The 12,774-nt window shown below is 52.1% G+C and overlaps 1 pseudogene across 1 annotated transcript in view; it reads right to left on the bottom strand.

Annotated features, from left to right (window-relative positions):
- Positions 1 to 2,232: 2,232 nt before the first annotated feature.
- LOC102724135 (uncharacterized) overlaps positions 2,233 to 12,774 on the bottom strand; it is a 30,800-nt pseudogene continuing 20,258 nt past the window's right edge. The window contains exons 2-6 of the transcript NR_158192.1: positions 8,108 to 8,196; positions 7,701 to 7,852; positions 7,091 to 7,430; positions 5,784 to 5,934; positions 2,233 to 3,790 (exon numbers count right to left, since the gene is read on the bottom strand). The product of NR_158192.1 is annotated as an uncharacterized LOC102724135 (transcript). The remainder of the gene's footprint in view (positions 3,791 to 5,783; positions 5,935 to 7,090; positions 7,431 to 7,700; positions 7,853 to 8,107; positions 8,197 to 12,774) is intronic.

The following is a 12,774-nucleotide window of genomic DNA, read 5'->3' as shown; positions in this document are numbered from 1 at the left end:
GTGGGTGTGCTGATTGTGGGCATTCCTGGGTGCAGGGGGCTGGGGCAGAGCTGAGGGTGGCATGCCAGGGTCACACTGCCTCTCTGCAGCCACAGGCCTCGGCCTGGATCACAAAGGCTGATGGCCCCTTTTGCCTCTGGCAGAGTCCGTCCAGCCACTCAGCAGCCAGAGCCTCAGAGCCAGCAGGCACCGACCCCCAGCTCCTGCTCTACCATGTGGTGCGGGGCCTCCAGCTAGGCCGGCTCTTCCACGCCCAGCATGACAGCACAGGGGAGGACCTGGTGAACTTCACTCAGGCAGAGGTAAGGGCCCCACTCTGCAGCCACCACTCAGATGCGCCCAGCCTCAGGTGGCCACTGTGCCATGGACATCATGTGGACATGGGCACCAGCTCCAGCATCACCGGCAGCAGACACTCCCAGGCCTGCCATGGTCCAGGACCTGGTGTCCTGCCCTCTAGGCGTCATCAGGCTGGCAGGGCAAGTTCATGTTCCCAGAAGGAGGGAGAAGAATGCAGGAAGTCGGGGATACAGGGCCCTAGAGCAGGGCTGGGGTCTTGGGGTGTGGCTTCCCAAAGGAAGCTAGAGCTGGACCCAAGGGTCTGGAGAGGGAGAACCATGTAGGGGCACTAGTGGCACCCCAGTAGCTGGTGAGGGGCAGTGCTTGGTGGGGGATGGAGTCGGAGGTGAAGCAGCTGCTGGGGCCTGTGGGCAGAGGTGTGAGCCTCGGGCTCAGATCAGGTGCCAGCCAGAGGAAGAGTGGATCCTAGGAGCAGATGAGCTGATGAAAGGCAGCTGAGTCGGCCAAAAGGGGGAAGCCACTGTTCATCTGTCCTGGTGGCTTCAGAGAAGAACTAGAGCTCTCAGCCATGGGTAGTGGCAGACTCTCTGTGGTAATTGTGCCATGGGGGCCAGCCCAGTCATGGTTTAAATGAACACCTCTCCCCAAAGGCAGAATGGGAGTTGTTCCATAGCAGGGCAGGGCAGGGCAGACTCTTGTGGGCCGTCCTGGGCAGGCAGCACACCTGATGCCCCCATCAGGAGGCTGCGTGAGCATCTGGACCCAGCACATGATCACAGTGAGTTCTGGGCAGGGAGCGGTCTTGTGGGGCGCAGAGCTGACTCTGTCACTCAGGAGCCACGGCCCGCAGCACTGCCCCAAGTACCTCCAGAGGGGACCCCTGTCAGCCCTTGAAAATGGCAGAGCCCACCCCAGCCCCCTTTTCAAGCTCCCTTGCTTCGGCAAGGACCTCCTGAGCCCGGCGCTCTCCCTCCTGAGAGGTGCAGATGGTACTCAGCAAGTGCAAAGCCGAGGTTTCTTGGGCCTCTCACATCAGCACCTCCCAGACCTGGGTTCTGTATTTCCCTGGAGCTCCACTCCTGCTATGGTGCCCTTCCCACAATGAGATATTCATCAGGTTGGTGTCTACAGCTGCTGCGTACCCTCACTTGCTGGGAGCCTTTGTCAAGAATGCCCAGGAATGAGGAGGGCACAGGACGCAGACCATCAGCAACCCTCTTGCACTCTATAGTCCCATGTTACTCAGAGCTTCCCCATGCTCCAGCAAGATGAAGGACTAGATTGAATGGGCACCAAGCTGACAGTGCCACCCAGGAAAGCCGGGAAGAGGCTACATGGGCTACCTGGCCCACTCAGGGAGGAGGGCAGGACTGGGTATTGTCTTGACAGCAACCCTGTCCCACAACACTGAACTGGGTAGGGAAGGGGTCAGGTGTCCTCATTTTTCAGATAAGAAAACTGAAGCTCCCAGAGGGCAGGTAAATGTATTCAGAGCACAGGGCAAGTAAGAGGCAAAACTTCTGCCAGCAAGTCCAGGATTTTTTTCACCAGAGGACATTGCTTGGTCCCCAGACCTCAGGACCCTGTGTTTTGCCTCACTCCCACCCACAGAGCTCCTGTATCCAGGTATCAACTCCAACTCCCACTCCTGGAGGCCGAGGCAGGAGGATCACTTGAGCCCAGGAGTTCGAGACCAGCCTGGGCCACATAGTGAGACCTTGTCTCCACACAAAAATTTTAAAAATAGCTGGGCTTGGTGGTGGCATGTGCCTGTAGTCCTAGCTACTCGAGAGGCTGACGTTGGAGGATCACTTTGAGCCCAGGAGGTGGAGGCTGCAGTGAGCAGTCATCACTGTACTCCAGCCTGGTGACAGAGCGAGACCCTATCACCGCCCCCCCGCCCCACCAAAAAAAAACTGAGTAGACAGGTGTCCTCTTGGCATGATAGGTCTTAAGTCCCCTCCCAGATCTGTGACATTTGACAGGTGTCTTTTCCTCTGGACCTCGGTGTCCCCATCTGAGTGAGAAAAGGCAGTGGGGAGGTGGATCTTCCAGTCGAAGCGGTATAGAAGCCCGTGTGAAAAGCCATACTCCAAGGGGCTCCAAGTCCAGCGCACAGTCCCAGAAGGGCCCAGCAAGGCAGCCAGGGCGGCACAGGCACCAGGTCCCAACCTTCTTCCCTGTTTGCCCACTCTCAGACCCCGGAGTTCATCATCTCGGAGCCGCTGGCCAATATGTACTCATGTGGGAACCAGAACACACTGATGGAGGAGTTGGCAGAGCAGGCACAGCAGCACGACGAGATGCTGCACATGCACCACGCGCTGAAGGAGGCGCTCAGCATCATCGGTGACATCAACAGGACCACTGTTACCATGCCCCCGCCCGTGGACGACACCTGGTTGCAGGTGCAGAGCATCCCTGACGCACACAGGTACCAGAGACTGCCCCCCACGGCCCCAAAATCCCCCACCCGGGATGCCCAGAGGAGTGCCCTGGGGACAAGTGGCACACCCCCTCACCGGGGTGGCTCCCACCTGGAGTGACGGGGGGAGCTTGACAAGGAGCACTGGCTGCAGGGGGGGGGGGGTGGGATGTTCTCGCTGCTGGGGGCGGGGCTTAAGCTCCGGCAACCGCCTTGGGGTGTGGCAGGGAGGAGCTTCGGTGCATGGGTGTGGCCGGCACTGCGCTGGGGCGGGGCCGCCCATCTCTCCCCTCCCTGTGCCTCCCAGGTCGCCCAAGTCCAGCGCCAGGATGCCCAGGCCCTGCCATGTCCCTAGCCCGGCCTGGGTGGCAGGGCCCAGCTCCTGGGCGGCAGGACCCAGCTCCTGGGCTTCCTCCTGCTGGGTCCGCCCTTGGGGAAGTGTGCCCCATACCCTCCAGGCCAGAGGCTTCCCCTGATCCCTTTGGGCCCTACCCCCCTGGTGCTCTTGTGCCCCAGCCGGGGTCCCCAGGTAAGTAGGGGCTGAATGCAGCCAAAGAGGCCGCTGGACAGGCGTGGCCAGGAAGGAAATGGGACTGGATTCCAGAGCACCACATCTGGCCGCCAGAACTGGCCGTCTCCATCCAAGGCACTGGGACCATGGGTGCCGGAGCCACGTGTGGCCGAGGGCTGGCAGAGCCTGCCCCCCAGGGATCACTGAGTCCTGGAGGTGGTCGTTTTTGAGGAGGGGGCTGTGGGGCTCGTCCCACCTGCCGCCTTCTGTCCAGCACTTGCATGACACTTCCCTCTATTTTCACTCTTGGCGGCTGCCCACACTTTGCATTTCTCTTCCTTTCTTCTCGCTGTCCTCCATCCTCCATTCCGTCCAACTCCTAGCCCAGTCCCGGGGGCGCCTACTTCAGGTCTGAGAGTCTGAACTCCGAGATGCTCTGGGTGTGTGGATTTCCTTCAGCTACCCTGATGTCCCCACTTCCAAGTCCTGACTCCTTTGAGCCATCCCAGGGGGTGTCCGGCCACTGGACCACAGGAGCAGAGGCGAGTCTGTGACTGTGTGACCAGCAAGGTGTGTGATGTGTGCGTGAGCGAGCACACGAGTGTAAAGAATGGCACCCAGACCTGAGCTAGGACAGAGGGAGCCTGGGGGCCACAGGCAAGCTCATTTCTTCTCCACACCCCTCCCCGCCCGACCCTGTCTAAACTAATGGGGTAGTGGTAGCCGCAAGGGCAGGGATGGGAGTGGCTGAAGCCTACTTCACTCCCAAAGATTTCTAAGGAAAATGGTTCTACTGCATCCTTTGGCTGGGCCTTGTTGACCCGTGACCCTCTTTCAAGAACATTCACTCTGATTTCCAGTGTGCCGTCTCCACTGGCCACGTTCTCTAAGGAAGAACAATAGCATCTGTTTTTGTTTCCAAATGGCTGGAGAGTGGGGCTGTGGGACCAGCGCCCATATATAAAAATGAAGCAGGGATTGGGGCTTGCCCTGTGATGTGCTGTTGACCAAGTTAGAGGGGTATAGGCAAGCAGCAAAGTATTGGGCAAGATCACTGGACTGGGAGTCCAGAGATGCTGCTTCACCCTGGGGCTTTAGGCAAGTCCCTTTCCCTCCCAGAGCCTCAGCATCCCTTTTAGCAAATTATGACATTCTGCCTTTCTCCTAGAATGGCTGTGGGGATCAAGGGAGACAGTGGCCATAGGGATGCTATGTTAACCGTAGATGCGTCTGTAGGAGCACTTTCCTAACTGCCAACGTGAGTTCAGACTGTTCAGGCTATTTGGCACCCAGGTCTATGGTGAGGTGTGACATATGGGATGTAAAGTTTGATGCCTGCTCTGACTCCAGTCTTGCTAACACACACACGAAACCTTTGGCAAATCATGACCCTGCCTTGGGGAAAAGGGCAGTCTGGGAGAGCTTCTTCAAGGCAGCCTGGCTTCAATGCAGTCTGGGGCATGACGGAGATAGGCATACGTTGTGAGGAACTGGAGGGTAACTGGGTAAAGAGCTGCAGTGTGGGCAGAGGTGTAGTGTGGGTCACAATGAGGATAGCCACTGGCCAAAGCAGGGAACAGAGACAGAATGAAGAGCTCTGTGGGGAGGGTGGGGCACAGGGTGGAGAACCTTCAAAGTCCAAAGAGTATGACTTGTTGGGATTCAATGCTGTAGGCAGTAGGGAGCCATGGAAGGCTCTTAGGTGGAGAAATGACAGCCGGACATTAGTGAGCAAGCCCTGTCTCCCTGAGCAGCATGGGTGGTCCTCTGAGCACGCCAGGCACGAGTGTGCAGGGAGCTGGTGCAAATGCCTCTGTGTGCGGGTGAGCATCTGTGTTGTGACTCTGCCCACGCATGTGCTTCAGTGTGCCGAGTGGCTGCACGCCCCAGATCCATGCGGCACGTGCCGGCCGGTGAGGGTGCTGGGCACCGGGAGGTGGCGGAGAGGGCGACGTATGCGTGTTGTTTGTGGGCATGTGTTAGAGTGTGCATGCGGGCCGTGGGGCCTCACAGCATGTGTGTGCACAATCTGGCGTGTGCGTGTGTCCGCCACCCCCAGGCCTGCCCCACCCATGCATGGGACCTGCCATGTGATTTGATGCTGTCTTTCAGAATCACTATCAGTGGCCCCTGAGGAGCATCAGCCATGGTAGGTACATGCCTCACTGCCTGCTGCATGAATGGTCTGCCTGCCCCGCTGCCCCAGCTCCACACAGGGGGCATACCTGGAGCCTCAGAGCCAGGCTGCCTGCCCCTCCCTTCTAGAGCTGCAGACTTGCTCTTTCCTCTTTCTGTCCTTGTGCTGCTGGCTGTCTCACTTCCCTCCCTGCCAGCCACAGGACTCAGTGCCACTGCTCAAGGTCTCCATGGCTGAGCCTGGGGGCTCTTACAACAGGCTCCATGCCGAAGGTGGCAGATGTGGAACCATCAGAGAGGGCACAGAGCTCATGGTTTATGGTGTAGGGGCTGGGAGCTTGGAGGGGGTTGTGTGGGGGGCTGGACTCAGGCGGCCAGAGGCCTGGGCACATCATCCTGGGCACGCCGTACCTGTCATGCAGTCTGAGCCATGCTGCCAGGGCAGGTATCCAGCTCCCAGCCTGGGAGTGCCGAGAGCCAAATCCACTGCAGATTAGGGGTGATAGTCAGGGTCCCACCTCCTCTATCTGTCAGCAATCCAGTGGTGATCTAGGATAAAAGCCTGAGAGTCCAATACACACGGTTATCCCACAACACACTTCATAGGCCATGCAAGGACACACAGCCCCCTTCCCTCCCTCCCAGGTACCATCACAGCTGCTAGCGTGTGACTGAAGGCTGGGTCCCTGGCCAGCGCTACTGAAGCACTACTGCCAGCCAGCAGACTCACGGACCTTGGCCTGTTGCTCCTAGGGGTCACCTGTGCTATTCAGCCAAGGAGACCACAGTGCTTGCTGGCCCAGCTGAGCTCCGCCTAGCGAGCCCACCTGCCTTTCCTGCCACGGAGTCTCCCTCTTCTGCTTTTCCCAGCAGGAAGGGCCCAGCCTCACCTATGCAACCTGCAGCCCCCCGCCAACCAGTTGAGGCTCCCCTCTTAGACTTATAAGTCTACGGGCAGTGGCATCTAGCTACCTGCCCTCCCTGCCTTCCCCAGGGTCCCTTCAGTGGACCCTGGGCTTTCTGACTGCCCAGAGAGGGGCCTCTGGCGCTCACTCCAGCCCGCCATCCCTTATAGCTTCACCATTTTGGTTCAAGCAGTGTTCCTTCTGTCAGGCTTGGTGGCTGTTGGGTGGGGCTCCCCAAGCAAGAGGTGGCCCTGGGCCAGTGGGTTGGAAGATGGGGTGACCACAGAAGAGGGAAGCCGGGGGAGTTGAGCATTGGTCTGAACTGTGGGTGGACTGCCTGGGTGCCATGAGAGAGGCCAGTGTGTGTGGGGTGGGGAGGGCTGCCACAGCCCCCAGGCACTACCTATGAAGCTCTAGCTTCTCCCTCCATCTTCCTCCCCTTTCCCTTCCAGCCCCTCTTTTCCAGGAACCTTGCCACGCCCACACCTACGCCTTCCCCTTCCCGGCTCTCAGATGATGGTGGTGTTTATCTCCCTGTTCTCGGGAGCCCAAAAAGAATGGCATGCAGGGGTTGCTGCCCATGCCTGGGTGCTCCTGGGGAGTCCTGCATTACAGGAAGCAGCTGCTGGATCTGCTGTGCAGTGGGGTTGTCGTGGGGAGAACCCTCCCTGTCCTCTCCTGGTGCAGCCTCCACGCTATCAGTGAGGCTCACCTCACAAAGATCTTCAGAGAGAGGGAGGGGGGTGGGAATCTGAGCACAGTGCGAGCCTCCCCTGCTCCTGCCTGCCCACCCCACCTGAGGGCTCTACTCACCACCCTGCTCGTCAGCACACCCAAGCTCCTGGGCTACTGGGGCTCCTAGAGTGGGCTCATCAGCAGGGTTCTGGGCAATGGTCAAAATTTGCCATGCCCCTCCTTGTGGTCGCCCACAAGCTGCAACACCTGCCCCGCAGCTCCTGCAGGTTCACCTGGAGGAAGGGGTGTTAGCTGCCATGCCGGTGCCGGCACGCACGTTCACCCCCACCTCCACCCCCACCCCCACCGAGATGTTGCACACCCTACCTTCATCTCCTCCTGGTCCTGGGCCAGCCTGACGATGTCCTCCTCTCCCAGTGCTGCGTCTCTGACACTGCCCCCTGGCTGATGTACTTTCCTGCAGGAGGACATGGCTCAGATGCTGGGGCCCCTCGGATGGCCTGGCAGCTCCCCCCAGCGGTGCCCTAGCCTCTCGCTCACTATGGTGTCTGTCTGTCCTGAGAGGTGGATGAATTGAAGCTCTAGTTTCTCTACCCGCTCCTTCAGGTCCACCTTCTCCTTCCATAAAGTCGCTGTGGAGCCAAAATAATGGGGTCACATGTCAGGAGTCACCTGCCTTGTCCTGCCCCCCCGCCCCCCTTGTTGGCCCATGCCAGGACCTACTCACCTGCAGCTTCTCCATGGCCCCCTGCAGGGCCCGGTGGGTCTCCCCAAACACAGACTCACCCCCACTCTCTGGGGCTGGGGCCGCTACCTCTGGCTTCTTCTGGGACTTTGTTCCTCCTGGGCACTGGCTCCAGCGGAGTTGAAAAATGCCACCTGAAGACAAGAGGTGAGTATTCTTGTAGGGGTATACACATAACAACTGGGGCAGGCAGATGGAGCATAGCCCCTTCCTTTCGGGCCTCACAGAGTGCACCTGTTGGTCACAGGTGAAATGGTGTCTGACCACTGGCTCCCAGGAGGAGTGAAAGTCCACAGAAGTCAGAAGGCGGGGAAACCAAGAACATAAGGGGGTTTCGGAGGGACCACAGAGGAAGGTGGCAAAGTAGGGGCAGGGAAAGTCAGGCTCACCATGGCCTCCCGGCTCTCCAGGTCCCCTGGGATGTTCGGCATGGGCCGAGGCGCCTCCTGCTCACTGTCCAGATGTCCTCCTCCATCTCCTGTGGGGGGTGGCCAGAGGGGTCCTCAGACAACCCAACAAGGGAGGTACAGTGGGCCCGCCTCTGCCCCCACACTCACTGTGTAACCTTGAGCCAGCCCCTCCCCAGAGGGGAATGAGCTGTTCTTTATTTTGAATTTTAAGAACCAAGATCTTGCTATATTGCCCAGGCACAGTCCCACTACCGATTGGCGCAGGAATTCTGACCTGCTCCCCTTCTGACCTGAGCCAGTTCTCCCATCCTTAGGCAACCCGATGGCCCCCTGTTCCCAGGAGGTCACCATACTGATACTGAACTTAGTGCGGACACCTTGTCGGCATAATGACCGACACAAAATGCTTAAAAGGTAACCTGACTCTTTGTTCAGGGCTCAGTCCTTTAGATGTTAATCTGACTGGGCCAGTGCACCTAATAATATATATCCTCCTCAGTCTCTCTGATTCCTAAATTATGCTGCTGTACGGGGAGAGAGGCAGCAGGGTAGTGGAGTCATACCAAGCAACAAGACAGGGTAGTGGCCAGGCATGGTGGCTCACACCTGTAATCCCAGCAATTTGGGAGGCCAAGGCGGGTGGATCACCTGAGGTCAGGAGTTCGAGACCAGCCTGGCCAACATGATGAAACCCCATCTCTACTAAAAACACAAAAATTAGCTGGGCATGGTGGCAGGTGCCTGTAATCCCAGCTACTCAGGAGGCTGAGGCAGGAGAATTGCTTGAACCCAGGAGATGGAGGTTGCAGTAAGCCAAGATTGTGCCATTGCACTCCAGCCAGGGGGACAAGAGGGAGACTTCACCTCGAAAGACAGACAGACAGGCTAGTACGTTTTCCACAAATTTCAATTTTACTCTCTTCCCCCACCACACACACACACAAAGCATTTGAGGGATGGGAGGAAGAAACTGAGATCACAGGAAAAATTGTAAGAGACATTCAGAAGGACAGGTCTTAGAAATTTACTAGTTTTGGGGGGAGGTCAGAACAGGTGTATATAAAAGAATATTAAGACAGTTCCCAGGTTTAGGCATATGTGACTAGATAGAGTGCTAGGAGATGGATACGTGAAAATTTAAATATCATCATTTTGAACACCCATGTCACTCCAAGTGAGATTCCCTAAATATATGATATACAGACAGATATATGGGTTTGAAACTCTGGAGATGAATACAAATTTAGGAGTCCCTGGAACACAGGTCATGACTTAAGTAATGGGAGTCAAAGATTACTCAGAGAAAGCACAGAATGAGAAGAGAAGAAGTAGGACAAGGAAGAAGAGATCGGAGGAGACCAAGAAAGGGTGATAAGATCAAAACAGGAGAAAAGAATCCGACAGAAGTCTCATTTGATTATCATGTCCCTTCCCAGAGGACAGGGACATGTCTTTTTTGTCTTTTATACCCAATTATCACAGGTCCTGGTGCAGCAGACACACAGTTTTTTTTTTTTTAATTGTGTTGTACTATTCACAGTTTCCTGTATTCACCAGGGGAGAAAAAAGTAAGTATAAAGAAGCACAGACACAGATGTTTTTACACTGTGTACTAAAGGGGTCAGATTATACACAATATTTTATGCCTTACTTTTTTACTTAATATATCTTAGAAGTTTGCACGTGCTCTTATGGAAAGACTGGCTGCATTTTTTGGTCCACAACAGAACAACAGAATATTCTATTATAAAACGGTACACTATAATTTTTATTTAACCAACTCTTTATTGGTGGACATTAAGAATGGAGGAATGTTTCAACAAAGGAACAATCAACAGTATCAAAATACTGCAGAGGGGTCAATTTGGGGACTAAGAGGGGAGCCACTGGATTTGACAACTAGGAGATAAATTTTAGTGCAACGATGAAGGCAGAATCCAGAGTATAATGAGCTCAGTGAAAAAAGGTGAAGACATGTAGCTTATTCTCTCAAGAAACTAGGCTATGATAAACTGGCAGAGGCTCTAAGAGTGGGAGGTGAGTTGTTTTCTCCTTCATGTAAATATATTTACCTTTTAAACACTAGGCCCAATTTTATATCCTATTTCATTTAACTTTATGAACATATTTATGTATGTATGCATGTATGTATGTATCTCATGTGATGTTTTAGACACTGAAAAATAACTCATTTCTATTATAAAACTGATATCTTTAGATGTTCAGAAGCAACTTCCTAAAAGGAGGTAGCAGTAATGGAGCTATGTCTATCATTCTTTCCCATCAACCCCCTTGATGGAGATGTAAACATGTGTCCATCAAGCCTTTAATTTTTACCTCTTATCTTCATGGCTCTCCATACAAAACTTAACTCTTTTTTTTTTCTATTTGTATACGTATATTTATATGTATATCTATATCGAGAGAGAGAGAGAGAGAAAGAGTCTTGCTGTGTTGCCCAGGCTGATCTCAAACTCCTGGGCTCAAGCAATCCTCCCACCTTGGCCTCGCAAAGTGCTGGGATTACAGGCGTGAACCACTGTGCCCAGCCTCAGCCTTAACTCTTAAAATATCTTCAAACCAATATTCTTCTGTTCTAATTTTTAAGAATAGATGTGTTTAAACCAACTAACTTATTTTGACAAAAATTGGAGTTAAGACTCAGACTTCCTCAAATAGTTCTCCTAAAACCATTTACAGAATAATCTATCTTTTCAGTATTAAGTTAAAATACCACCTTTTCCTTATACTAAATTCTCGTTTGCATGACTCTGGTTCTAAACTTCCATTGCCTTTATCTGTCTGGCCCAGGGATAGTCCACAATATTTTATTTACTATCTGGTTGAAAGAGTCTATACTTTATTACTTTTTATTACTTATTCTTCTAAACAAATTTTAGAGTCGTTTTGTCAAGTGTCAAAAATAAATCTGCCAGAATTTGTACTGAAATTTGTGTGTGTGTATATATATAATACACACACACTATATATAAAATATAAAATGTATATATACAATTTATATATATAAATATTTATAAAATATGAAATATATATATATATACACACACACTTTTCTAGTTCTTTTTTTTTTTTTTTTTGAGACAGGGTCTCACTCTGTCACCTAGGCTGGAGTTCAGAGGCATGATCTCGGCTCACTGCAACCTCTGCCTCCCAGGCTCAAGTGCTCCTCCCACCTCAGCCTCAGAAGTAGTTGGAAATACAAGTGTGTGCCACAGACACCCAGCTAATTGTCATCTACCCGCCTCAGCTTCCCAAACTGTTTGGATTACAGGTATGAGCCACTGTGCCCAGCAGAAATTACATTTACAAATTAATATGAAGACATGGTGATAACTAACATATTTATAACATGAAATCTGCTCATCCAGGAACATAGAATGCAAATCTTTCATTCCACTCAGCAAAATTTTGTCCTGTCCTTGATAAAAGTCCTGCACATCTAAGTTTATTCCTAGGTATTTAATTTTTGCTGAAATACCTGAAAAAATACTTCATCACTATATCTTCTACGTGATTATAGCTAACACTGGGGAAGGCTATTGATTTTTATATAAAAGAACTTTTAACCACTAATCTTAAAAATTGTTTTTCTCAGTTGGTTCCTTTGGATATTTTTAGGTAAACAATCATGTCAACTGAAAATAATGATAAATTTTCTATAAAGACTATGACATCACAGGAAAATACAGTAAATACTTTTTAAAAGAATATAAAAGGGCCAGGCACAGTGGCTCACGCCTGTAATCCCAGCACTTTGGGAGGCCAAGGTGGGCAGACCATGAGGTCAGGAGATCGAGACCATCCTGGCTAACACGGTGAAACCCCATCTCTACTAAAAAATACAAAAAATTAGCCGGGAATGGTGGCGGGCGCCTGTAGTCCCAGCTACTGGGGAGGCTGAGGCAGGAGAATGGTGGGAACCCAGGAGGTGGAGCTTGCAGTGAGCCGAGATCACGGCACTGCACTCCAGCCTGGGTGACAGAGCAAGACTCTGTCTCAAAAAAAAAAAAAAAAAAAAAAAAAAAAAGAATATAAAACTATAGAGAATATGACCTCAACTATTAAGCATATGTGTAAGGGTTATGTATTTTAATAGCAAAGAAAAACTATATACTGGTAGAAAATGACCATCATGTCAACAGTCAATAGTGGTTATATTAGATAGAGAAATTATGGGAGACTTTAATTTTTTTCTTTTATCTTTTCTGTACTTTACCAATTTTCTCAACAATGGTTGCTTATGAGTTTTAAAATTAAAAAAAGGTTTTAAAAATTTTTCCAACATGGAAAGTTATATTTCTTTATATACTAAAACAAAAACAAAACTTTCTATTTGAATACCTATGGCAAAACCCTATCTCTACAAAAAATACAAAAAATTAGCAAGGTGGGGTAGTACACACCTGTAGTCCCAGCTACTCTGGAGGCTGAGGTGGGAGGATCACCTGAGTCCCCAGAGAATGAGGCTCCAGTGAGCCGTGATCATAGCACTGCATTCCAGCCTGGGAGACAGAGAAAGACCCCATCTCAAAAAAAAAAAAAAGAAAGAAAGCAAAAAGAAATATCCATAATGATCTGAAATGCCTATCTGTATGAGACTGTCCTTTGTTCACATTTTTTCAAGC

Source organism: Homo sapiens, chromosome 15, assembly GCF_000001405.40.
Source record: "Homo sapiens chromosome 15, GRCh38.p14 Primary Assembly".
Taxonomy (NCBI): domain Eukaryota; kingdom Metazoa; phylum Chordata; class Mammalia; order Primates; family Hominidae; genus Homo; species Homo sapiens.
Note: the sequence above shows the minus strand (reverse complement) of the source record. Positions and strands in the feature narration are given on the sequence as shown.